The sequence below is a fragment of the Homo sapiens genome, chromosome 5 (genome assembly GCF_000001405.40).
Source record: "Homo sapiens chromosome 5, GRCh38.p14 Primary Assembly".
Classification (NCBI taxonomy): domain Eukaryota; kingdom Metazoa; phylum Chordata; class Mammalia; order Primates; family Hominidae; genus Homo; species Homo sapiens.
In genome coordinates this window covers 96,211,384-96,235,922 of record NC_000005.10, presented here as the reverse complement: position 1 = coordinate 96,235,922, position 24,539 = coordinate 96,211,384, and the positions used below count along the sequence as shown (strand labels likewise).

The window sequence follows — 24,539 nt, the reverse complement described above, 5'->3', positions numbered from 1 at the left end:
ATCCATGGTCTAGGATGAATTCTAGTATCCTCAGGCAGATCTGGGAACCCAAGTTACTCGCAGAGGAGTGAACTGGAAGCGGGTGTGGAAAATAGGCTCCGGCTCCTGAGTGACTTCAAAACAGAAGGATTTTCAGAGGCAGGGAATTTCTGAGATTCTAAGGAGATTTTTAGAATTTTCTTCCCCCAGAGGGAGGAAACTAGGTCATGTGCTCTTAACCCAGTGAGGTTTAGGGCCATGGTGTGGGGAGAGAAAAGATAGTTGACCTTAATTAGCTACAAAAAAAGCCCAGAACTCTTGGGATTAATCCAAAATCAAGCACAACTTCTAGTGGGGAGATTCAAGCTCCCAAATTCAAGTATTAGTAGAATGAAGCCAAATCTAGGACAGCTCCTAAATAATTACCATTAAACTAACATTCACATGTTGTAAGAACTAAATTTATCCTCGCCACAGCTCCTATTTATAGAAAAGGCTCAGCCACTACCAGATAGCAAGCTCTGTGAAGGGATGGACTACGTCTGTCCTTTTTACTGCTGTATGCCCAGGGAATGGAAAGTAGTTGTTATATAGCTGATACTCATTAAAGCTTTGTTGAACTGAATTGTTCAAAGCCACACAATGAGTTAGTGTGAGAGCTGGGATTTTAACCCCAATTTGACACCAAAAACCATGCTTTCATCTATATTACACTGCCTGCCAAGGCAGACTTAGACTAGAAATGATCCCAAGGCAAACTCCTGCTCTGGTTCTCTTCCTAAAGCTCTCCTGGGGTCCACCAAGATGAACCAGGAGAATCACTTGGAGGGGCACCTTTGGGAAAATTTATGAATCTAGAAATTGTGGCAGACACTACTAGTTGTCTTTCAAAAATCTATTTTTTCCATTTGCCTCTTGCTAAAAGAAACTTGATTTATTCAGGTAACGAAGTTCCCATTTTTGAATACTTTCTTGAAATATTTGGTATCTTCATTATGATAATCATTGCATAAGTGTACACACATATCAAAACTCACCAAAATGCATACTTTCTACATATGTAATTTATTTTATGTAAATTATACTTCAATAAAGCAGTAAAACACACACACACATACACACATACACAACCCACACACACCTCCCCAGACTTTGTTGTAATACATTTCTGGCCAATGAGATATAAACGTAAGTCTGCTGGATGGAACATCCATTAAAGTTATTATTTTACTGGAAAAAGAGAAAACTTGTCTGGATGAACATTTAACTTTTGAATTTCCCTTTTCTTTCTGCATAGAAATGGAACAGCTGTCATGAGAGAATGAGGGCAAAATTCACAAGCCAAGGCTGGTGGAACAGGAAAGCTAGAAGGAAACTCGGTCCTTCATGACTTTCTTGAGAGGCTGCCCCAACTGTGGCCTGTCCATCTCCTGACTTCTTATTTTGGGAGGAAAAAAAATTCCTGTTTGGTTGACCTGATTTAGTATGGTTTGTGTATATGTCGCTGCCTGCAATTACCAAATGACAATATTCCCATGCAAACTGTAAGGCAGATATTACAATGCCATTCCTCAAAAATGTTCAATTGCTGTAGAGTAAAATCTAAAGCATCTCTAGCCGCATTCCCTACTACGGCCTTCCATGAACACTTCCTTCCAGCCCCAGCAGGCTGTTTGCCATGTTTCAAACAAGCAATACATTTTAAGACTAATGCTTTTCTCTCAACCTGATACATCCTTTCTTCCATAAACTTTGACAGACCCTGAAAAATTCAAAGAATTGATGCAGGCTACAGTTAGCCAGTGGAAGACTTGAGAGGAAAATTTACATTTCCTGAATATAAGCCAAGTGATCTTTGTCCTATGTACCCACTTCTTTGTTTGTGTGTGCCCACTTCTGAAGCAGGGAAATCAAATGCTCTAACCAAAGGATCTAATTTATTCTTGGCTTTTACTTAATATCAAAAACTCTCACTTTAAAAAATAATTTTTTTTTGCAATTATGTAAGAACAAAAAATCTTATCTACAACGTCATTAGAAAAAAATTAAGATTATTAAAATTTTAAGATTATTTCTTCTTGTTCTACAGTGTCTGATTATACACGAAGATATAAGGTTTCTGTTTTATATATGTAATAGAACACATATGTAAATATGTTATCTTACAGTCGAAACTATACAGGCTAATTATTGTGTTCTAACATGCTGTGTGGTAGACAAACACCCAAGTTACTGACCAAAATATTTTGTTTCTAGAGCTACTTATTAAGTAACTAGGAGAAAGTAATTAAACCTTCCAGTTCATCCATCTGTCAAGGAGAGAAAATATTGTATCTGCCATCTGTCCAGATTTCAGTTATGGAAAATATTGATGAGAGGAGCTAAACCAATATAGGGCTTTATGTCAACTCAATTAAAAGAGTTAATCCATATTGAATGTTCTGTTCTGTGAATCAATTTTTTTATTTTTGTTTTTTGAAGTATTTTAAAATACAAAGAGTAATGTAACACAAGTTACTTGCCACATAGACCTAACATGTTAATATTACTCCATTTTTGCTTCCTATTTACTTATTCTTTTAATAAAGTGTTCTAGATACAGCTAAAACTTGAATCCCAGTCCTATATCTTTCCTCTCCTGTTTCCTCAGAGGTGTTCTGAAGTTTTAGGGAATCAATTCCACGAAAGTTTGCATAATTTTACTAAATATGTATCCATGAATTAAAATAGTATTTTGGGGTCTTTACATTTTATATATTTGATATTGTATCTACATATAGCAATTTGCATTTTACATTGAATATTTTGGTTTTTGAATTTTTAATACTAATAGATGCAGATTGGTTGAAGTGCTTCATTTTAACTGTCAAATAGTAATAACCCACAGTTAATTTGTTAATTCCCTTACTGGTGGGTTGTTAGGTTGTTTCCCCTTTTTTACTATTCCAAGCACTGCTGTAATAAGTATCTGTGTTAACATATGCAAGTGTTTCTCTAAAATATAGTACTGTGTTTTGAAGTAGAATTGCTATACACTTTGTGCATTTTTACAAACTTCCTCTAGAAATTTTCATTCATTTCTAGACAAATTTGGAGTAAATTAATACTTTTATGAATCTCTCTATCCATGAACATAGTATGCTCTCCAATTGGCTTAGAAAATAATCTATTTTATGTCTTTAAATAAAGTTTTGTAATTTCATGCATGAAGAAAGGAAAAGTTTTTGTGAGATTTTTAATAGGAACCTTATAATTTCTCTTTCTTTCTTGGCCCCAACTATCCCCCTCAATTTTTTGTTCTTTTTAAAATTGCATTTATACAAGGTTATGCTGTTATACACAAATTCTACTGAGTTTTTCGTATTAAATTTTGATTGTTAATTTTGTATTCTGCAACCTTGCTGAACACCATAAATTCTAAAACAATCTTTTCTCCATAGATTTTCTTAGGTTTTCCAAATGTCCTTTTCTGCAGATCCCCATAGATTTTCTTGCAGACAACCATATTTGTGGGTAAGGACAATGTTATTTGTTTTCAATCCTTGTAGTTTTTATTTATTTGTTCTATGTTATTTTGTTAACTAGGACTTCCAGTATCACACACAGTATAAGTTGTGAAAATTGGCCTTTCAATTTTGTATCAGTTTTCTCTATTTGCATCAGAGTCACCTAGTAACATTTTTAGAAATGCAGATTCCCAGCTTCCAACACTCTCATCCTCCAGAGATATCAGTTCATAGATTTAGGGTGGGATTGATCAATTTCAATTTTTTGTAAGTATCTTCTCCCCAAAATTCTGATGGAAATTGACCCCGGATAAAACTTTAAGTACTTTTCTAGCTAAATATATTATGTATGAAAAGTTTATTGTTATTTATATTGAATCTCCAATATTTTAGTTCTTTTACCACCAACACATACCATATTTTCTTTAAAGCACCATGGACCTATTGGCACCCCTTTCTCCCCAGTCCAGCCCTGATCAGAAAAAAAAGCTTAGGATCCACTTGCAATTGGGATTGGCATCATGAACCAGTTTTCATTTTCCAAAACCTACCGGTAATCTCCTCAGTTCTGATATCCAGCTACAGTATGGTATATGTTGGTGGTAATGGAAGCTAAATAACTTGGCCACTGCCAAAATTCAATGTGCTTTTTTTTTGCCTTTTTATGTTTTTATTTCTAGTAATAATTGTTGTTCCACAATGAAGATAATAAACAATAAAGTATTACCCAACACAATTATTTTTATATTATATCATAATTATTCTAACAGCTTTATTGAGATATAATTTATACCATAAACTTCACCTGTTTAAGTGTGTTTAAGTGTACAATCCAATGGTATTTAGAATATTTACAGAGTTGTGCAACCATCACTCAAATCTAATTTTAAAACATTTTCATCATCTCATAAAGAAACCCATCCCCATGAAAAATCACTTTCTATTCTTTTCTCCCCTTCTCCTGCAAACCCTGGTTAAGCGCATTATTTTCTGCCTCTATAGATTTGCTTATTCTATTCTGTTTTGTGAATACATGAAATCATACAATATGTGGTATCTTACGACTGGCTTCCTTCATGCAACATATTTTTAGGTTCATCCATGTTGTAGCATATATCAGCACTTCATTCCTTTTTGCGGCCAAAGACCATTCTATTCTATGGACATAAAACATTTTTGTCTATTTATTCATCAGTTCATGAACATTGCGGTTGTTCCTACTCTTTGGATATCATGAATTATATTTCTATGAACACTCATTTACAAGATGTTGTTTAGACATGTTTTCAATTCTCTTGGGTGTATATTCTAGAAGGAGAATTGCTAGATCATATGGTAAATCTATGTTTACCATTTTGAGAAACTGCCAAACTGTTTTCCAAGGTGACTGTACCATACTTTTTCCCACCGGGAAAGTATGAGGTTCCAATTTTTCTACATCCTTTCAGCACTTGTCACTGTCTTGATTATAACTATTCTAGCGAATGTGAAGTAGTATCTCGTTGTGGTTTTGATTTGCATTTTCCTAATGGCTAATGATGTCGAACATCTTTTCATATGCTTGTTGATAATTTGTAAATCTTCGTTAAAGAAATGTCTATTCTTATCATCTGCCCCTTTTTTAAAACTGAGTTGTCTTTTTGGAGTTGTAGGAGTTCTTTATATGGGTTGGATACAAGCCCATTTTCACATATGTCATTTACAAATATTGTCTCCCAGTCTATAGACCTTCTTTTCACCTTCCTGATGGTGTACTTTGAAACATAAACGTTTTTAACCTTGGTGAAGACCAAGTTAACAATCCTACTTTCATTGCTTACGTTTTTGGAGTCATATCGAAGAAATCATTGCCTAACCCAAAGATCATAAAGATTTACTTCTGTGTTTTCTTCTAGGAGTTTTATTATCATAATTATTTTTATAGATGTGAATGAATGGAAAGTGAGATTTAAAGTGGTATAATCAGAGAGCTATCAAGGGGGAAGTTTCAAGTATTTAATTTTACAGATGATAATTATTAGGATTATGCGGTGGCTTCTGGGCATTAACACTAACCACAGATAAATTGATAAAATTTAAATTGATAAAGAGAAGACAGTGCCAATGAAGACAGTGGACCTAAAAGGACTTACAGAGTAGGTAGGGAACCTGGATTGGAGAGAAGTCAAAGGAAGACTTTGTGCCTCTGCCTAGGGCATCCCTGGGGGACACTCCAATGCAGGTCCAACAGCTTCTGACCATAGGAAAGAAGTCAGAAACCCTAAGTCTCTGTGCTCATACTGCAGGACATCAGCTAGAACCCATTTTCAGGCTCTATAAGAAGTTCTTCCATGTAGGCTTGGTCACTTGTCACCATGAGAATGGACGTCTATCCTTCTCCAAATAGTAGTATGTTTGAGCACAAGAAAGTGTCTGCTTTGTCACTATCCCTGACACCTCTCAGGTTCAATAGCTAAATAACAAAGGTCACTGATAAACAGCTGTCTGCGTCCAGGTGGGAGAAGGACAACAAGGATACTCTTGTTTTATAACAGAAGGAACACGGGGGGAGGATAAAAGAAGAATTTATTGATGGTTTGTCAAAGTAACTTCATCAAATAAACAAATAATTAACTATGATCATAGGGATTTTGAATTTTTTTCAGTTTTCCTCTTCACATTTCTTATATTATGTAAAGAAGAAATGTCTCCTAATTCAGAGAATAGATTACGGGAGTGAAAAACAGGGCACACTGTATTAAAACATTATTCCTTAAAACACAATACAGAATAATCATGCATAATGTTCACTGTCAACAACTTGATGTGTTGAGCTATACATTCACTAAATTTAGAATTCACTCTAACTTAAAAAAGATTGTTCTACAATACAACACTCCTGCAGTACTGTTGTGGCTATCGGGCTCAGGAAGATACCACTGTTTAACATCTGCATCTCTGTGCTTCTCCAAGCTTCATTTTCTTTATGGTGCTGCCACTGCCATGGAAATAGTGTCTTTTTTTTCCAATGGATGCTTTCTAAACTAAGTCATTGTACTGTGAAAGCATTCTGAAAGGCATTGTTGATGGAAAGCAAGTGCAGTCATAACACTGCTGAAGCGTGAAAGGTCATTTGATGGCCTATGGGAAAGCAAAATGTCTTCTAAGGAGAAGGAGCAAAGTATCCTTTGTATCTAGTATCCTTCACATAACTAACTAAAAGTGCTCCTAAAATACGATTTCATTTGTGTTTGTGATACAGTTCATGATTATTCTCTATTCTGTAAAGAAAACTTACAACTTTCTTTTCTATAGAATCTTTGGAAAATCATCCATTCTCACCTGGTAAAATGATTTGATGGGTCCTCTCTCAAAGCCAGGTAATAGATAACATGGATTTTTGAATCTTTTCAACCCTAGAATTCTATGGTCACATAAAATCGTTATTCTAAAGGTAGAGGAAAACCAATCAGATAAGATTTTTATTACACAAAAATAATTGGTAAATCCAGGAAGAGCACATGAATTTTCAGATAATTTTGGTACAGTATGTCATATATTCTGAGATATTATTACCTATATATTTTATTATTACTCTTTAGTTTTGCTAAACATTTGCTTATATTTTTCTATTTTGATATAATTTTACCTACTTGTTCTTAAAAACACCTTTCAGGATAAGAATTTGAGGTTTTGAAATACAGTCAACTTTGTAAGCATGCTGACACATTAAACTCCCTCAATATTAACATGACTCACAATGGTTACCTCTTGTTAAATCAAGGCTTTCAATATGAAAATGAATCATCTAATAATCCTTAACTTGTGAAGCCTTTTCACGCAAAGACAGGCTATAAAATTTATGCGTATTAGCAAAAAGGATTGCAAATGCAGGCACGAATCTAGGGGACAAATACAATTTACTGCAGTACCATACTTAACAGGTTTAATCAAGACAATAACCCATTTATTCATGTAGAGACAAATCTGGTGATAGAACAGGGGCAGATAGTGAGAGGGAAAGATAATAAACAAGAAATTAGAAGAGCTGGATTCCAACTGAGACTATGCTACAGTGTATTTTATAAACTTGGGCAGATTAATCTTTCAGGGTGTATTAATTAGAAATGTACAGAGGTATGAGTAACAGAAAAACTGACTGAAAGCTACAAGTGACCTATGAAATAAAGACAATTAATTGTCTCACACAGAAAGAAATCCAGAGGTAGGATGTTCCAGATTTGGTACAGTGGCTAGCTGAATCGAGCTCTTTCCATCCTCCTACTCTGCTCTCTCTCCATCATTAGTCTTAGTCTTGCCACCTCATAGGTCCAAGATGGCCGCTAAGCTCTAAGCATCACATTCCCATTCAAAAACATGCAGCCATTTCTAGCCTTTGTAATCACAGACACACACATACACATGTGCGTGCACACACACACACACACACACACAGAGAGAGAAAGAGGGAGACTACAAAAAATGTGAAATCGGTGAAGCTGAAAATCATTTTTATCAAGGCACTTTTTATTTTTAACAGTGACAAAATCCACCATACTTGCCCTTACACATTGTTGGCCAAAACTTAGTCGCGTTGCCACCCCTTGTCTGATACACAAGCGAGTGTGGGAAAGTGACTGCAAAGGAAGACACACGAGGGAAAAGGGAGCCTCAAGGCTTTATCTAGAAATTGTGGAAGTTGGGTAAACTGATATCTAAGATAGAGCTCCAGGCTACCATGTAATTTTTGAAAATAAAAAGTAACAAAAAACAAGGAAGCTGACTCTTATTTTACACTTTTAAAGAGACTTCTGTTTTTATTCTAATTTCCCATGATGGCACTTTTTCCCCCTCTCTAAAAACAAAAACAAAACAAACTTCCTCCATCCAGGATTCTGAATTTCTACAGTGAACAGTCTCTCCCCTTCCCTAACTAGAAAAAAACCTGAGCGGTCCAGACATTGAGTCATTCAATTTAACTTTGATGGAGCTGCACCTATTTTTGAGGTTTTGCCATCGTGGTTTAAGAACACTGTCTACAGACACTTTGGAAATTTTTCCCAGCACCTCTCTGAGTTTATGCTGTACTAAATTTAAACTGGAAAATTCAAGATGTAAAAGGCTAAGTAAATAATTCTATTGAAAAAAGCACAAGTGATTATCTTCTTTTAAAAAAATCCAAAGAATTCAAAATGTATTGAATTTGTCCAACTAACATTCCATTTGTGGTATCTCATAACCCCATGTAATATTGCAATGTACTTCTTCTGCTTCATTTTTTACAGAGAATTACACAGCTGCCTCTTATTATTAAAAGCACCCTCCCCCTCACTCTCTGAATAAACTGTGTGTTCTGACATTAAACCAAGACACTACACAAGAAGATCCTGGAAGCCAGGATGCCGCCAGCTTTGTATGCCAGATGTGATTACAGAGCGACAGCGAACAATGCTGCAATCAGCCCATTGGTTAGCTAGAAACCGTGGACACTCAGAAGAGGTTCAGTCTGAATACATAGCCAATAGTGTGTTAAAAACTACCATGCAAAAGTGCTTGTTTTACCAAGATATTCTATGGGAATATTTAGCTGTTACATTGTAAATGCTGTTATTTTGGTTTCTAAAAATGTCATGACAGGAAATGATTCCAGGGAGGAGCGGCCAAGAGGGCTGTTGGGTAGAACAAGTGGGGGAGAAAGTTAAACCTAGAAATCAAGAAGCCAGAAAAGGTGAAAACATGAATTACTATCTGCAATAAAACAGATTCTTAAAATACATTTGATTTTTTTTTAAATCTTTTTTTGAGGCAGGGTCTCACTCTGTCACCCAGGCTGAAGTGCAGTGGTGTGATCTTGGCTCACTGCAACCTCTGCCTCCCAGGCTTGACCGATCCTCCCACCTCAGCCTCCTGAGTAGCTGGGACTACAGGCACGTGCCACCACCCCACCCCTGGCTAATTTTTTGTATTTTTTATAGAGACAGGGTTTTGCCATGTTGCCCAGGCCGGTCTCGAACTCCTGAGCTCAAGCAATCTGCCCACCTCAGCCTCCCAAAGTGTTGGGATTACAGGCATAACCCACCATGCCCAGCCTACATTAGATCTTTTATGCTCCATTTGCCTTCTCCCAGAAGGCTGGTTATGTTTTGAAGAGTTCCTACTGTTCATTGGTACAACGGTTGTAAGGTCCTGGTCCCCTGGCTTTGGACCAATTGCCAGGTGGACATAAACTAAGGGAAGACACCCAGTCTATATGGGGCTAAGAAACCACTCTGCCCCTTCTTGATTCTCTGCAGCTACAACCAATGGGCAGTTAAGACCTTTGGGTAAGAATTTCTGCAGGTTTGGAAATGCTCATATTGACACTATTTTTATTTATCTCCCTGTCTGAGAAGTGCAAGGTGGGGACATATTAGAAGCTGATCAGAGAGTAACTACAGTTATTAGTTACTTATTAGTTATTAGAAGTTTGACCTTCTCAGAGGGACCCAAAGATACATAGTGCAGTAACTGGTGAGCTGTAGAATTTCATAGAAAAAGAGAAAGAAGAAAAAGGAGAAGAAGAATGGTGAGGCGGGGGGCAAGAATTAAATTTCTTTTTCTCCCTGAATAGATTTGTATTATAGAACAGCTCTCTCCAAGAATAAAGTGTTTGGTTTATCCAACTTACTTCTCATAGACAATGTTTATCAATTATGTGTCTATCTTTGAGTAATAATTTGTATTCTTTTACCTCTGTTTCTGTTAGATCTACAAAGACTCAGAAATCACAACAGACTCTCAAGAAAATCATCTCAGATAGAGAAAAATATAGCTATTTACATATACATTAGTAAGGTGGGTATAAGATAACTCATCAGTAAAAACTTTTCAGAAAATTTCCAACATATCTATAATTTTACCTTCACTGCTTTTCAAATAAACCCAATGCCCCCCAACATAAATGAGCTTTTTCCAGTCTTTATTTTTAGACTTCCACTTAACTCTTTTCTATCTATGATCTTTGTGTGTTTTTAAAGTATAAATTGCATACAGTTTTATAATTCCAGCTGTTATATCCCTGTATGCCCCCATTTACACACCGTCTTGAACACAAAACTGCTAATGTGTATATATCATTCTACATTTTCATAAATCTGTTTGGGTTTTAACCAAACAAGGTAGAGAGAGAAAGTAAGGAAAAAAAGGAAGGGAAGGAGGGAGGGAAGAAAGGAAAAAGAAGGAAAGGAAGGAAAAAAACAAATAGCAACAAAGTCAATAAATACTTATTAAATACCATTGTTGGTATATGACACAGAGGTGGTACAATTGCCTCTACATTGGTGTTATTTTAATTTGATTCCACATATGTGATATTGATTTTAAACTTAGAGTCTGATGTAAGATCGAAGCTAGAAAAGTTACCTCCACGCCATCAACATGTAAGGCCTGCCAACATGATGGGTGGGCCTTCACCCTTGAATCAGGGAGTGGAGCACATGACCTAGGTCTGGACAATTAGAACAACTAATTCCTAGATACCCCAATTAATTTAGGGGTGGGCACATGAGCTGAGTTGGCCAGTTCAGAGTAAATCTTGAATCCTGAAACTCATGTGTAAGTCACAATAAGAAATGCTTTATTTTCTCCATTGTACTTAGTCTAGAGGGGAGCTGCTGGCAACCCATCTGGCCATCATGCATCATCTGAGAAGGTAAATTAGTATCCCGTGGCTGCCATAAGAAATCATCATAAATTGGTGGCTTAAAACAACATAACTTTATTCTCTACTAGTGCTAGGGGACAGGATTCTGTTCAATATTCATTTCAATGACTAAAAGCACAATGTTGACAGGACCTTGCTTCTTCCAGATGCTCCAGGGGAGAATCGGATCCTTATGTCTTCCAGCTTCTGGTGGCTTCATCAGTCCCATCTCTGCCACCATCTTCACATTGCTCTCTCCTCTTCTGTGTGTATCAAATCTTCCTCTGCCTCACTCTTAAAGACAGGTGTGATTGATTAGATTTAGGGCCCACCCAGATCAACAGAATAGTCTCCCCAAGTCAAGATGCTTACCTTAATCACATCTAAAAAGACCCCTTTTTCCTTAAAAGGTAATATTTACAGGTTCCAGAGATTAGGGCCTAATATCTTTGGGTGGCCATTATACAGCCTACTAAAGAAGGCAACAGAAAAGTAGAGACACTGGGTTCTGACAACACTATCTAAATGTCTGGATTACTCTTCACCCCACATAACTTATCCCTGGACTTTTCAGTTGTGAGCCCCAAGATTTGTCAGTTTGAATTGAGTTTTCAGTCACTTTGATCCAAGACAGTTCTGATTTAGGACTTCTAGTTGAGCTTCTAAGTCTGTATTTTTGTGCTGGGTAACATTATGTATATCCTTTTTCTCTTTCTGTGGATCAGAGAGATTCAGGCTCCTTTCTTTACCTTTTTATAACCATCACAATCTATTCTTTTTCTATAGGATCCACTCTGCCGAGACCAATTGCTTAGCTCACTATTTCTTTCTGTACCTAATATCAGTGCATGGTCATATTTTGTTGTTAACCTGCTTGTTAATTCCATGAAGATGTACAGAAAAGATTAAAGTTTTAATATTCTCAGAAAATTCTCATGACAGTAATTACCTAGTCTATTAACATCTATTACACAAAAGGGTGAGCCCAGGACATTGACGATCTCTCAAGAGATAAATTCAAGGACAGATGGAGAAGAAGCAGGGTCAATACCACCCAGGAACACCTGCAGCCATGTATTAGTCTCCTAGGGCTGCCATAACAAAGTACCACAAATGGTGTGGCTTAAAACAACAGCAATTTATTCATTCACAGTCTTGGAGGCTAGAAGTGTAAAGTCTAAAGTCTAAGTGCCAGCAAGGCCATGGTCCCTCCAAAGATTCTAGGGAAAAATCCTTTCTGAACTCCTCCTAGCTTCTGATGGTTGCTGGCAATCCTTGTTCAAATCTCCCTTTGCTCATAATGACATGAAATCATTGAAATAGACCCATCCTAATCCACTATAACCTAATTTTTTTCTTTATTGATACATAATGTTTTACATATTATGGGGTACATGTGATACCCCAAATACTCTGACTTGATCATTACACATTCTATGCATTTTAAGTACTATTTAATACATCACCTTGAATATTTAATATTTATTTGTGTTGGTAACATTTCAAGTCCTCTCATCTCTCTACTTTGAAACATGTAATCTATTTTTGCTAACTATGGTCACCCTAGTCTGCTATCAGACATTAGAATATATGTCTTCTATGTAACTGTAAGTTTGTACCCATTCACCAACATCTCTTCATTTCCCCTTCCTACCCTCACACCCTTTCTCAGCCTCTGGTATCTCTCCTAGTCCTATCTCCATGAGGTTAAGTTGTTTAGCTTCCACATATGAGTGATATGAGTGAGAACAAGCAGAATTTGTCTTTCCATGCCTGGTTTATTTCACTTAACATAATGACTTCCAGTTCCATCCATGTTGCTGCAAATGATATGATTTCATTCTTTTTCATGGCTGAATAGTATTCAATTATGTATATATACCATGTACTCTTTATTAGTCCACTGATGGACACTTAGGTTGATTCCATATCTATGCTATTGTGAATGGTGCTGCAATAAACATAGGGGTGCAGGTATCACTCTGATATACTTACTGATTTCCTTTGGATAGATATATATTAGAGGGGAGGGATTGCTGGGTCATATGGTAGTTCTATTTTTAGTTTGAGAAATCTCTGTATTTTTTTTCATTGTGGTTGTACTAACTTACATTCCCATCAATGGTGTATAATAATTTATTTTTCTCCACATCCTGACCAGCATCTATTATTTTTATCATTTTAATAATAGTCATTCTGACTGGGGTAAGGTGATATCTCATTGTGGTTTTAATTTTCATTTCCTTGATGCTTAGGGATGTTGAGCATTTTGTCGTATACCTGTTGGCCATTTGTATGTCTTCTTTTGAGAACTGTTTATTCATGTTCTTTGCCCAATTTTTAATGGGATTATTTGCTTTTTTAATTGTTGTGTTGTTCGAGGTCTTTGTATATTTTGGATATTAGTCCCTTGTTTGATGAATAGTTTGCAAATATTTTCTCCCATTCAACAGGTTGTCTCTTCACTCTGTTGATGTTTCCTTTGCTCTGATGATACTTTTTAGTTTAATATAGTCCCATGTGTCTATTTTTGTTTTAGTTGGCTGTGCTTTTGAGGTCTTAGCCATAATATTTTTGCCTAGACCATATGTCCTGAAGTATTTTCTCTATGGTTTTTTCTAGTAGTTTTATAGTTTCATGTCCTACATTTAAATCTTTAATCCATCTTGGGTTGATTCTTGTATGTGGGGAGAGATAGAGGTCCAGTTTTATTATTCTGCATATGGATATCTAATTTTCCCAACACTATTTATTAAAAAGCATGTCCTTTCCCCAGTGTATGTTCTTGGCACCTTTGTTGAAAATCAGTTGGCTGTAAATACGTGGATTTATTTCTGGGTGCTCTATTCTGTTCCTCGTCGACTGTGTGTCTATTTTTATACCAATACGATGCTGTTTTGGTTACTATAGCCTTGTAATATACTTTGAAGTCAGGTGGTGTGTTACCTCCAGTTCTGTTCTTTTTGCTCAAGATTCCTTTGACTCTTCTGGCTCTTTTTTTGTTCTAAATAAATTTTAGGATTTTTTTTCTATTTCTGTGAAAGATGACATTGGTATTTTGATAGAGATTGCATTGAATATGTATATTGCTTTGAGCAGCACAGTCATTTTAATGATATTGACTCTTCTAGTCCATGAGTGTGGACTGTTTTCCCATTTGTTTGTGTCCTCTTCAACTTCTTTCATCAGTGTTTTGTAGTTTTTCTTATAGCAATCTTTGACTGCCTTGGTTACGTTTATTCCTAGATATTTTATTTTTTGTCAGCTGTTGTAAATGGGGTTGCCTTGTTGATTTCTTTTTCAGCTATTTCATTATTGGTGTATATAAACACTACTGATTTTTGTATATTGATTTTGTATCCTGCAACTTTACTGAATTTGTTTACCAGCTCTAGGAGGGTTATGATGGAGCCTTTAGGTTTTCTTAACATAAGAACCTGCAAAGAGAGACAATTTTACTTCCTCTTTTCCAATTCGAATGCCCTTTATTTTTTTCTCTTGCCTGATTGCTCTGGCTAGGACTTCCAGTATTATGTTGAATAGGAGTGGTAAGAGTGGAGATCCTTGTCTTCAATATGACAAGGATACTTAACTTGACTACATCTGTGAAGACCTTATTTCCAAATAAGGTAACATTTCTAGGTACCAGAGATTAGGACTTCAGAATATGTTCTTAGAGACTACAAATCAATCCACAACAGGCCAAGGGAGGGCAAAGTGACATTCAAGTAATCCATAATGACCTAAACTCTGTTAAATTTAACATTGAAAATATATGTTGTGAATAAAATTAATTGTAATCTCCTTTAGTGAAGCACACAATTACAAATAATGGCACTAGGGAGTGATGCAACTCTTCCTTCTCTGACTAATATCATACCGACAAAGGGCATCACGGAATGTTGGTTTCTCTGCTGCAGAATGACTGAAATCTTGGTACTTTTGTTTCAAACAACTTACTAAACTCAAGAAAGACTCTCAGAAAAAAAGGATGTCAGGTAGTCTCACTAAATAGCCAACTAAGCTTAGAACTATTTAGAAACAAAATGAATCAAACAAGTTGAATCACTTCAGATGGTCACTTACTCGTCACAAATATTTTAAGTAGCACAGCTCCAACTGAGTGATGTCTTATTCATCAAAAAATGTCTTACAGAAATAATGTTTGAAACAGAGTCAGAAGGCCTAGCTTCTATGCCAGACTCTGTCACTAACCAAGTATAATTTTAGGAAAGATGTTTAAATGCTTTGGGTATCAGTTTCTTTTTTCTGTGAAATGAAGAGTTGATAATCTAGATAATTTCAAAGGTTTATTCCTCCTCACAAACATTTCCATTAAAATATTCTATTCTTTACCATGGTCATGTTAACATTTACATAACATGTTCTGAATAGCTCAATTAATTATAGGTAAGTCCTAGTGTACTTGAGGGTGTCTTTTACCATCTGAGATTAAAATGCATGAAGAGGGGGCACAAAACATTATAGACACCAGATGGCTGCCACAGCCCGAAGCATCATGTCTTCACAAAGCAATGTTCAAAACAGGAAGGGTAGGAAGAGAGTAGAGACTCCTCTTATATCTTTGTACTAAGGAGACAAACCCTTTTCAGATGCCTCTGAGCAAACTTCTCCTCACGTCCCATTAGCCAGGACTGAGTCACAGACCCACACCATAGCAACAAAGAGGCAGGGAAAACTAGTATTTAGCATTTTCAGTCTCTGTCGTGGGAGACAGGCTTTAACAACAAGGAAGAAAGGGGAAAGGAATGGCTGTTCATTGGGCAACATACAGCATCAGCTTCAGACATCCTGCTCCAAAAGAAAGTGACCTTAAAACCTTTGTACAGGCTCTGACAGACCTTTAGCAGGAGACAGAGTGGGGTCTTCTGTGGAGACAATGAGAAGGAATTTAAGAGATATTAAACATGCCAACCACCTACCTTTCTCTTTCTTTTCCTTTTCTTTTTTCTTTTCTTTCTCTCCTTCCTTCCTTCCTTTCTTCCTTCCTTCCTTCCTGCCTGCCTGCCTTCCTTCCTTCCCTTTCTTGCTTTCTCCTTCCTCCCTCCCTCCTTTCCTTCCTTCCCTTCCTTCCTTCTTTTTATTTGAGACAAGGCCGCACTTTGTTGCCCAGGCCAGAGTGCAGTGGCACAAACATGGCTCACTGAAGCCTTGACCTCCTAGGCTCAAGCAATCCTTCTGCCTCAACCTCCCGAAGTGCTGGGATTACAGGCATGGGCCACCATGCCTGGCCAGGCTGGCAACTTTGACATGGACTAGGCAATGCCACTTATTAGCTGTATAATCTTGGATCAGTTATTTAGTAGCTCTCTGAGGCTCACTTCCTTTATCTATAAAATGGGTATAATGCCTGTCTCATAGGTTTGTGACAGCCACTTTGGGGCTATGAGACAGGGGCAAAATGGATGAGAACCAAAAAATAGTTTTGAATGAAGCGTCTTAGGAAGGCCAGCTCCTGAATGCATAATAGAAGTAGATGGGGAAGAAAAATAAGAGATGTTCTTGAGGAGTGTGATTATGTGCTAAGCCTGAACCTCTATGAGTTCAAGAAATACAAATGAAAATTTTTGGTTAAATTGACATTATATATCTGTCATGACATAGCTCAAACAATTCACCACATGGGCCATGAAATCATACACATAAAAAATAATAGTGATAATACCTCACATTAACTGAGCACTTATCCTGTGCCAGGCATATACTACGTAGCTGTTCTGCACACAGCTTCATTTATTCCTCACAATGCCCCTAAGATAGGAACACCTAATATCTCCACTTTTCACCTGAAGAAACTGAGATTTAGTGACCTTAAGTAACTTGCCAAACACCCCACACAGTACATAACAAAGCAAAGGCTCAAGTTGAGGGCTGCCTGACTCTAAACTTCCCCTGATGTTGACCCACTTGGTGCCTCCCAGTGTGTTCTCCCGGCCTGCTGTGCCTCTCTCTAGTGTCACACTTGCCAGACCTTATTGAAGTGAGCTTTTCACTTGTCTTTCTATCCAGCTCGTCTGAAATATTTGTCTTTGGATCCTAAACCTAGCACATGTAGGAGTTAGATAAGTTTACCAACATAAATTAAATTAATGAACAAATAAACTGGAGGGTCGGCAATATAAAAGAGTGCTGAGTTCAGAAGAGGGGAGGTAGCCACAGGCAGCAGAAGTTGGGAAAGGCTTTGTGGGTGAGGCAGGGCCTTAGCCAAGCTGGAAGAGGAAGAAAACTTAAATGTGTAGGGAAGGTGGAAGAGAAGACTGGGAGAGAAATATTATTTTAGCAAAGGCCAAATGCCTAAAATGTTTTTTGGTTCTAATTCTACCTCTCCAGCAGAATATTTTTAGTTCATTATGCCATAGCATGAATAAATGTAATACATTATTTCCATGTCAGCCAGCCCCTTCTGCTGGACCACAGGCATAATATAGGGCCTCTGCTTCATTATGATCTCCTTCCAGATACAACAATCAACTGAAAATATAAAATTGCATTGAAGGTCAGAAACCCATAGACAGCTTGCATCCAACCACATATACTGCATTTAAAAAAATTCCATAGGAAAACATGGTCAGTGTTCACCTAGTGTGAGTCACATAGCATCCTAAAAACGATAGACTGTAATTTGAACCCATGCAAAACCTTTTAAACAGCTAATATTGCTAGCATCGAAAAAAGCAAACAGTCACTTTTTCTTGATTATTACTACTCAGAGGCCACCCCCCAGAACTTTCAATTAACTGAGGTAGGAGACAAAACACAAGAACGTAAGTATTATTTTCTGAACTTTTCATTGAAATATAGCATACACACAGAAAGTGTACATATTATAAGCGTACAGCTAATGAATTTCACAGTTGAACAGACCCTCGTAACCAATGTCTAGCTCAGGAAAGAACATTCACAGCAAACCATGCCTCATGCCTCATTCCACTCAGCATCCCTAAGGATAACCCTTCTCCTAATTACCAACACCAAAGTTAAGTTTTTCCTGTTTCTGTACTTTAGATATAAAAGATCCTGGAGCCTGTATTATTTTGGGTCTGGCTTCCGTCATTCAGCATTATATTTCTGACACTCATCCATATTGTTGTGCATAGTAATAGATCATCCATTCACATTTTTGTCCAGTAGCTGTTCTCAAAGTGTGGTTCACAAGTGTGATCCAGAAGTAAACTATTTTCATAAGTACAGGAACACATAATTTGCCTTTTTCATTGCACTGATAGCACAAAAGCAATAGTGGGAAAAATGGCTGGTACCTTACCACAAATCAAGGGAGCGGCACCAAATGGTTATAGTCATCACTGTCTTACTTTTCAACACCATGCACTACCAATCAACAGAAAGAAACAATTATTTTCCATAAAGCTAGTTTAACTTAATAATGTTCTTGGTTAAAAAAAAAAAATTTAATTTGGCCACTCGCAGTGGCTGATGCCTATGATCCGAGCACTTTGGGAGGCTGAGGCAGAAGGATCACTTGAAGCCAGAAGTATAGGACCAGCCTGGGCAACAAAGCAAGACCTCATCTCTATAAAAAAAAAAAAAAAAATTAGCTAGCATGGTGGTGTATACCTGTAGTCCCAGCTATTTCAGAGGCTGAGGTAGGAAGATCACTTGAGTCCAGGAGTTCGAGACTACAAGGAGCTATGATTGCACCACTGCACTCCACCTTGGGCAACTGAGTGAGACCTTGTCTCTAAAAAACTAAAAATAAAAAAATAATAATTTTATTACTTCTCAACTCTTGAGTACACATCTTTTTAATATTTTCTGTGTGATGTAAAGTGCTTATAAAATACTTCTGCAACAGAAAGCACAATGGATAAAAAGAGCTCATGAGGAGAATCAGTTGAGTTGTTAAGTTAAACTAGTCACTTTTGTCATGAAAAGCAATTTTATTTAAAGGAATGACGGGAAAACTGTTGTTATTCAGACTTAGGTACTTGGCAAACATTTTCTCAAAAATAAATGAAGTGAGCCTGTAACTTCCAGAAAAGCAACTGTCAGCATTTGATGCTAATGATAAAACTTGAGCTTTCAAACTAAAATTAGAGTTCTGGAAAACATATCCACCACCATGATCTTGAAGACTTCCTGATTTTAAAAAGTATTATATAAAGAAATATTGAAACATTTGTAGGATCTGAGTAATTCAGTGAATGAATATTGCCCAAATCACCAATGTATAACACAAAATCATGTGTGGGTAAAAGATCCACTCAAAGTACAAGGTAGACCAGTGGATTTTAATTTCATAGAAAATGGGAAGTTCATTGACATGGTTTCAGAATCCATACTGAAACCAATCTTTAAGACACTACCACTTTTCAACTCTTGGTGTATTATAAAGAAGAATATCCACATTTTTAAAAAGCAATTTATTACTTACCCGTGTGAGGTTGGATTTTTTTCATATATAGTTAACCCTTGAACAATGTGGGGGTTAGGGGAGCTGGCCTCTTTGCAGTTGAAAATCCACATATAATTTTTTTGACTCCCCCAAAACTTAACTGCTAATAGCCTACTATTGACCAGAAGCTTTACTGATAACATAAACAGTCAAATCACATATTTTGTTTATGTCCTATATACTGTATTCTTACAATAAAGCAAGCTAGAGAAAATAAATCTTATTAAGAAAATCATGGCCAGGTACAGTGGCTCACACCTGTAATTCCAGCACTTTGGGAGGCTTAGGTGAGCAGATCACTTGAGGCCAGGAGTTCGAGACCAGCCTGGCCAACATGGAAAAAACCCATCTCTACTAAAAATACAAAAATTAGCTGGGTGTGGTGGCGTGTGCCTGTAGTCCCAGCTACACGGGAGGCTGAGACATGAGAATCACTTGTACCCGAGAGGCAGAGGTTGCAGTGAGCTGAGATCATGCTACTGCACTGCAGACTGGGTGACAGAGCAAGACTCTGTCTCAACGAATACATAAATAAATGAAAATTATAAGAGAAAAATATATTTATTATTTATTAGGTGAAAATGGATCATCATAAACGTCTTCATCCTCATCATCTTCATGCTGAGCAGATTGAGAAGAAGGAGGAAGAGGAACGGTTGGTCTTGCTGACTCATGAGTGGTTGAGGCAGAAGAAGTAGAGGCGGTGAATAAGGAGGTAGGAGAGACAGGCATATTTGCAACTTTTATTAGAAAAAAATCCATGTATAAGTGGACCTGCACAGTTCAGACCCACGTTCTTCAAGGGTTAACTGTACTTTAAATAAAATATACACCAACAGATTAAATGGAGAAGCAGAAATGAGAAACTCAGCTATTTTCTCATAAGCCAGATATTAAAATGTAAAAGAAGGCCTCTCTTCTCACTACATTTTTTGCTTTGGAAAACAAAGTGATTTTTAATAAAAACATGCTATTTACATTAGCTTACAATGGGTTTATTATTTTTAAATGTTTATAAATATTTAAAAATTTTTTCAGTTTCAAGTTATAATACAGTAAGTATCAGTAGTTATGACCCACATAATTGAAAGTTCTTTGGAGTTCTCAATAATTTTTAAGGCTGTAAGGGTCCTAAGACCAAAAAGTTTGAGAACCCCTGCTGTACAGTATTTCATTGTGAGCAGGGATTTAAATTTAGCAGTCACTTCTGGGAATATTCTTGAGATAGTTAATATTTAGCTTAATTTCCTCATCTGGTTTTTCTGCTTGTGGTTTCTTCTTCTCTGCAATCCCTCTTGCACTGGCCAATCGGATCATTCTCCAACACAGTTCTTACAGTGGCTACTACATCAGGTGCACTCTCTTCTTCCTGGCAGGAATATTTTAGAAGGCTTTACCAAGAATGTGGAATTACACTATGGCTTTAAGAATTTGGCCAGAAAGAGGTCAGAGGAGGACAGAGCAAACTTCAGAAATGTAAGCAAAAGACTTTTTCTTGGATTATGGATATGGTTTCCTGAGCTTCTCAGTGTAACATCATCTTCTAACACCAAATACTATAAAACAATCTTCTTGTGTCTTGGTAAAACATAACCCTGCTTTGTTCTCATCACAGTGCATACCACCACCTGGCTTTTTTGTTTTGTGTTGTTTTTACGTTTTAATTTTCTCTCCTCTCACTGCCTTCCCCAGAATGTAAGCTCCAAGATTGCAGAGACCTTGTCTATCTTATTCTTTGACTAGAACTGTGTCTCAAACACAGTAAGTAGCTAACATGTCTTTGTTTAAATAGATGAATCGCCCAGTCTTTATTTTGCAATTCATTCAGAACTTAGAAAAGTTCTAAGATCTAGAATTTTGTTTTATTTCATGGAGTATTAGGCTTTCCTCCATTTGGGTAGTAACAATAATAAGGTAATACTGACATGAAGTATTTCACAAAGTTTCCAGAGCTAAATTTTGACTTAAAATATTGCCTTTTCTTTTCTTGGTCTTACTCCATTATTGTTAGCCATATAGGCAGTTGCTGGTAAGTAACTTCACAACTCTCCGGAAATGTATGGCTTATAAATAGATTGCCATCATGTTTCTTCAAAATTATTTCTTATTCATGCTCTAAATATTTACCAATTTACATATTTCATTATAAGTTACAATCTCCATTCTGCTCCTTAAATGTTTCAACTCATGCAGATTTTTAGATTTAATCTTCTGTAAGAGAACATACTTCCTGAGATTGACTTCTAAGACTTTTGAAGCTGGAAGGAAATATTTTTATTTAAATGTTGCCGGTATTCTATATGTACCAATACAAAAAGATCTTCAAGATTTGCTATTAATTATATATAAGACAACAAGTAGAACAGTATATATACTTTGTTCTCATTTGTATTTTGTATAGTCCTGTATATGTTTTCATTATGTAGACTAACTCTGATAGAAGACAACATAAAACTGGAAAACATGGTTACCTCTTGGGAAGGGGATGGGAGGACTGGGGAAAGAGGTGGAATGGAACGGGATTGACCTTTTAATATTTTTTTTTCTCTTTTAGAGACAAGGTCTTACTCTGCTACCCAAGCTGGAGTGCAATGGTATGATCATAGCTTACTACAGCATTGAACTTCTGGATTCAAGAGATTCCCCCACGTTGGCCACCCAAGTAGCTGGAACTACAGGCATGTACCATCACACCCAGCTTATATATGTATATAATTATTTTTGGACATACAGGATCTCACTACATTGCCCAAGCTGCTCTCAAACTCCTGGCCTCAAGATGATCCTTCTGCTTCTGCCTCTCAAAGTGCTGGGATTATAGGCATAAACCACCATGCTCAGTCCAATGTTTTTAATATCAGATACTCTTTAGTATCTTTAAGATTTTATACACTGTGTATGCATTAGTTAATTATTAAATTTTAAAGAAGTAAATTATATGGATAAAAGTATATCCACATATACCAATTAAGAGACAAAGATTAGCAGAACATATTAAAAACATGACTCAATTACCTGCTGTCTACAAGGAACTTACTTCAAATATTTGAAATAAATATAACAAGTAAATGGATAGAAAAAGACATATTATGTAAAAGTTAATCAAAAGAAAGTGGGAATAGTTATATTAATATCAGATAAAATAGACTTATGAGCAGAGAAATTTACCAGATACAGAGTGACATTACACAATATTTTTTAAAATTTATTATTATTATTATTTTAGAGATAGCATATTACTCTGTCACTCAGGCTGGAGTGCAGTGGCATGATCATAGCTCACTATAGCCTTCAACTCCTGGCCTGAAGCAATCCTCCTGCCTCAGCCGCTGGAGTAGCTAGGACTACGGGTGTGCACCACCATGCCCGGCTAATTTATTTTATTTTTTGTAGAGATGGGATATTACCTTGTTGCCCAGGCTGGTCTCAAATACCTGGCCTCAAGCAGTCCTCCTACCTTGGCCTCCAAAAGCACTGGGATTACAGGCATGGATCATTGTCTGAGCCTGGCCCTACATAATGTTAGAAGGGTGACTCTACCAAGAGAACATAGAAGTCGTAAATGTGTGTACAAAAAGCAACAGAGTTATGAAATATCTGAAACAAAAACTGGTGAAACTGAAAAGAGAAATAGACAAGTCTACAATTACAGTTGTAAACTTCAATAGCCCTCTTTCAACAATTGATATAATAACTAGGCAGAAAATCAGCAAGAATATAGAAAACTCAACAACACTATCAACCAATAGGATCTAATTGACATTTATGGAACACTCCACCAGACAAACAGCAGAATACACATTCTTCTCAAGAGCCCATGGAACCTATACTGAGATAGATCATATCCTAGACCATAAAACAAACCTCAACAAATTTAAAGGATTGAAACCATACAAAGTGTGTTCTCTGACTACAAAGGAAGAAAACTAGAAATCAACAACAGAATGATAAACAATGCATTTCTAAATAATCCATGGATCAAAGAGGAAGTTCCAAAAGAACTGAATAAAAATGAAAGTACAGCATATAAAAATTTGTGGGACACAGCTAAAGCAGTGCTTAGAGGGAAATTTACAGCATTAAATGCTTACATTAGAACAGAGAAACAGTCTGAAATCAGTAACCTAAACTCCTACCTCAAGAACCTAGACAAAGAAAAGAAAAATGAACACAAAATAAATAGAAGAAAATAAAATTCAGAAATCATTAATCACAAATTAATGTGAAACCAGAAAAACAATACAAAAAATCAATAAAACTAAAACCTCACCCTTTGAGAAGATCAATTACATTGACAAAACTCTAGCAAGACTGACAAAGGGAAAAAAAAGAAAATCCACAAATTACCAATACTAATACAACAGGGAATATCATGACAGATCCTGCAGATATTAAAAAGATAATATGGGAATACTGTGGCAATTCTACATGCAAAACTCTAGCAATTTTGATGAAATAGGCCAATTCCTTGAAAATCACAAAGTACAACAACTAATTCAGAACGAAATAATTTGTGTAGTACAATAACTATTAAGAAAATTGAATTCATAATCTTAAAGTTCTCCCAAAATAAATTATCAGGCCCAGATGATTTCACTGGAGAATTATTCCCAATGTTTACAGAAGAATTAACACCAACTTTACACACTTTCCTCCAGAAAATATAAGATAACATGCCTAATTCATTTTATGAAGCTATTATTACCCTGATATCAAAATCATAGGGAGATAGTACAAAAAAAGAAAATCATTAGCCAATATCACTCATGAAAATACATGTAAAAGTTCTTAAGAATATATAAGCAAATAGAATTCAATAATATTTTAGAGAAATTAAGTATATTCCATGACAAAGTGGGCTAATTTCAGGGATGTAAGGTTAGTTCAATATTTGAAAATCAATCAGTGTAATCCACCATTTAACAGACTAAAGAAAAATATCACATGATCATTCCACTTG

General features: G+C 36.3%; 1 protein-coding gene and 2 long non-coding RNA genes across 15 annotated transcripts in view; 1 reads left to right on the top strand and 2 right to left on the bottom strand.

Moving 5' to 3' along the window:
• CAST (calpastatin) overlaps positions 1-24,539 on the bottom strand; it is an 813,255-nt gene that overhangs the window by 538,761 nt on the left and 249,955 nt on the right. The window contains exon 2 of one of the 13 annotated variants that reach the window (NM_001423260.1): positions 18,742-18,873. The exons of 11 other annotated variants lie outside the window; for them this stretch is intronic. The gene's annotated coding sequence lies outside the window, so the exon portion shown is untranslated. Of the gene's footprint in view, positions 1-18,741; positions 18,874-20,558; positions 20,949-24,539 lie in introns of those variants that run through there. One more of the 13 variants, NR_186780.1, reaches the window with a different exon arrangement.
• The window catches only part of LOC101929710 (uncharacterized), a 669,085-nt gene that overhangs the window by 395,163 nt on the left and 249,383 nt on the right, over positions 1-24,539 (bottom strand). The gene's annotated exons all lie outside the window — the stretch shown is intronic.
• On the top strand, positions 20,895-22,513 carry LOC124901032 (uncharacterized). The gene is made up of 2 exons (XR_007058878.1): positions 20,895-21,055; positions 22,134-22,513. It is a non-coding gene; the product is annotated as an uncharacterized LOC124901032 (long non-coding RNA).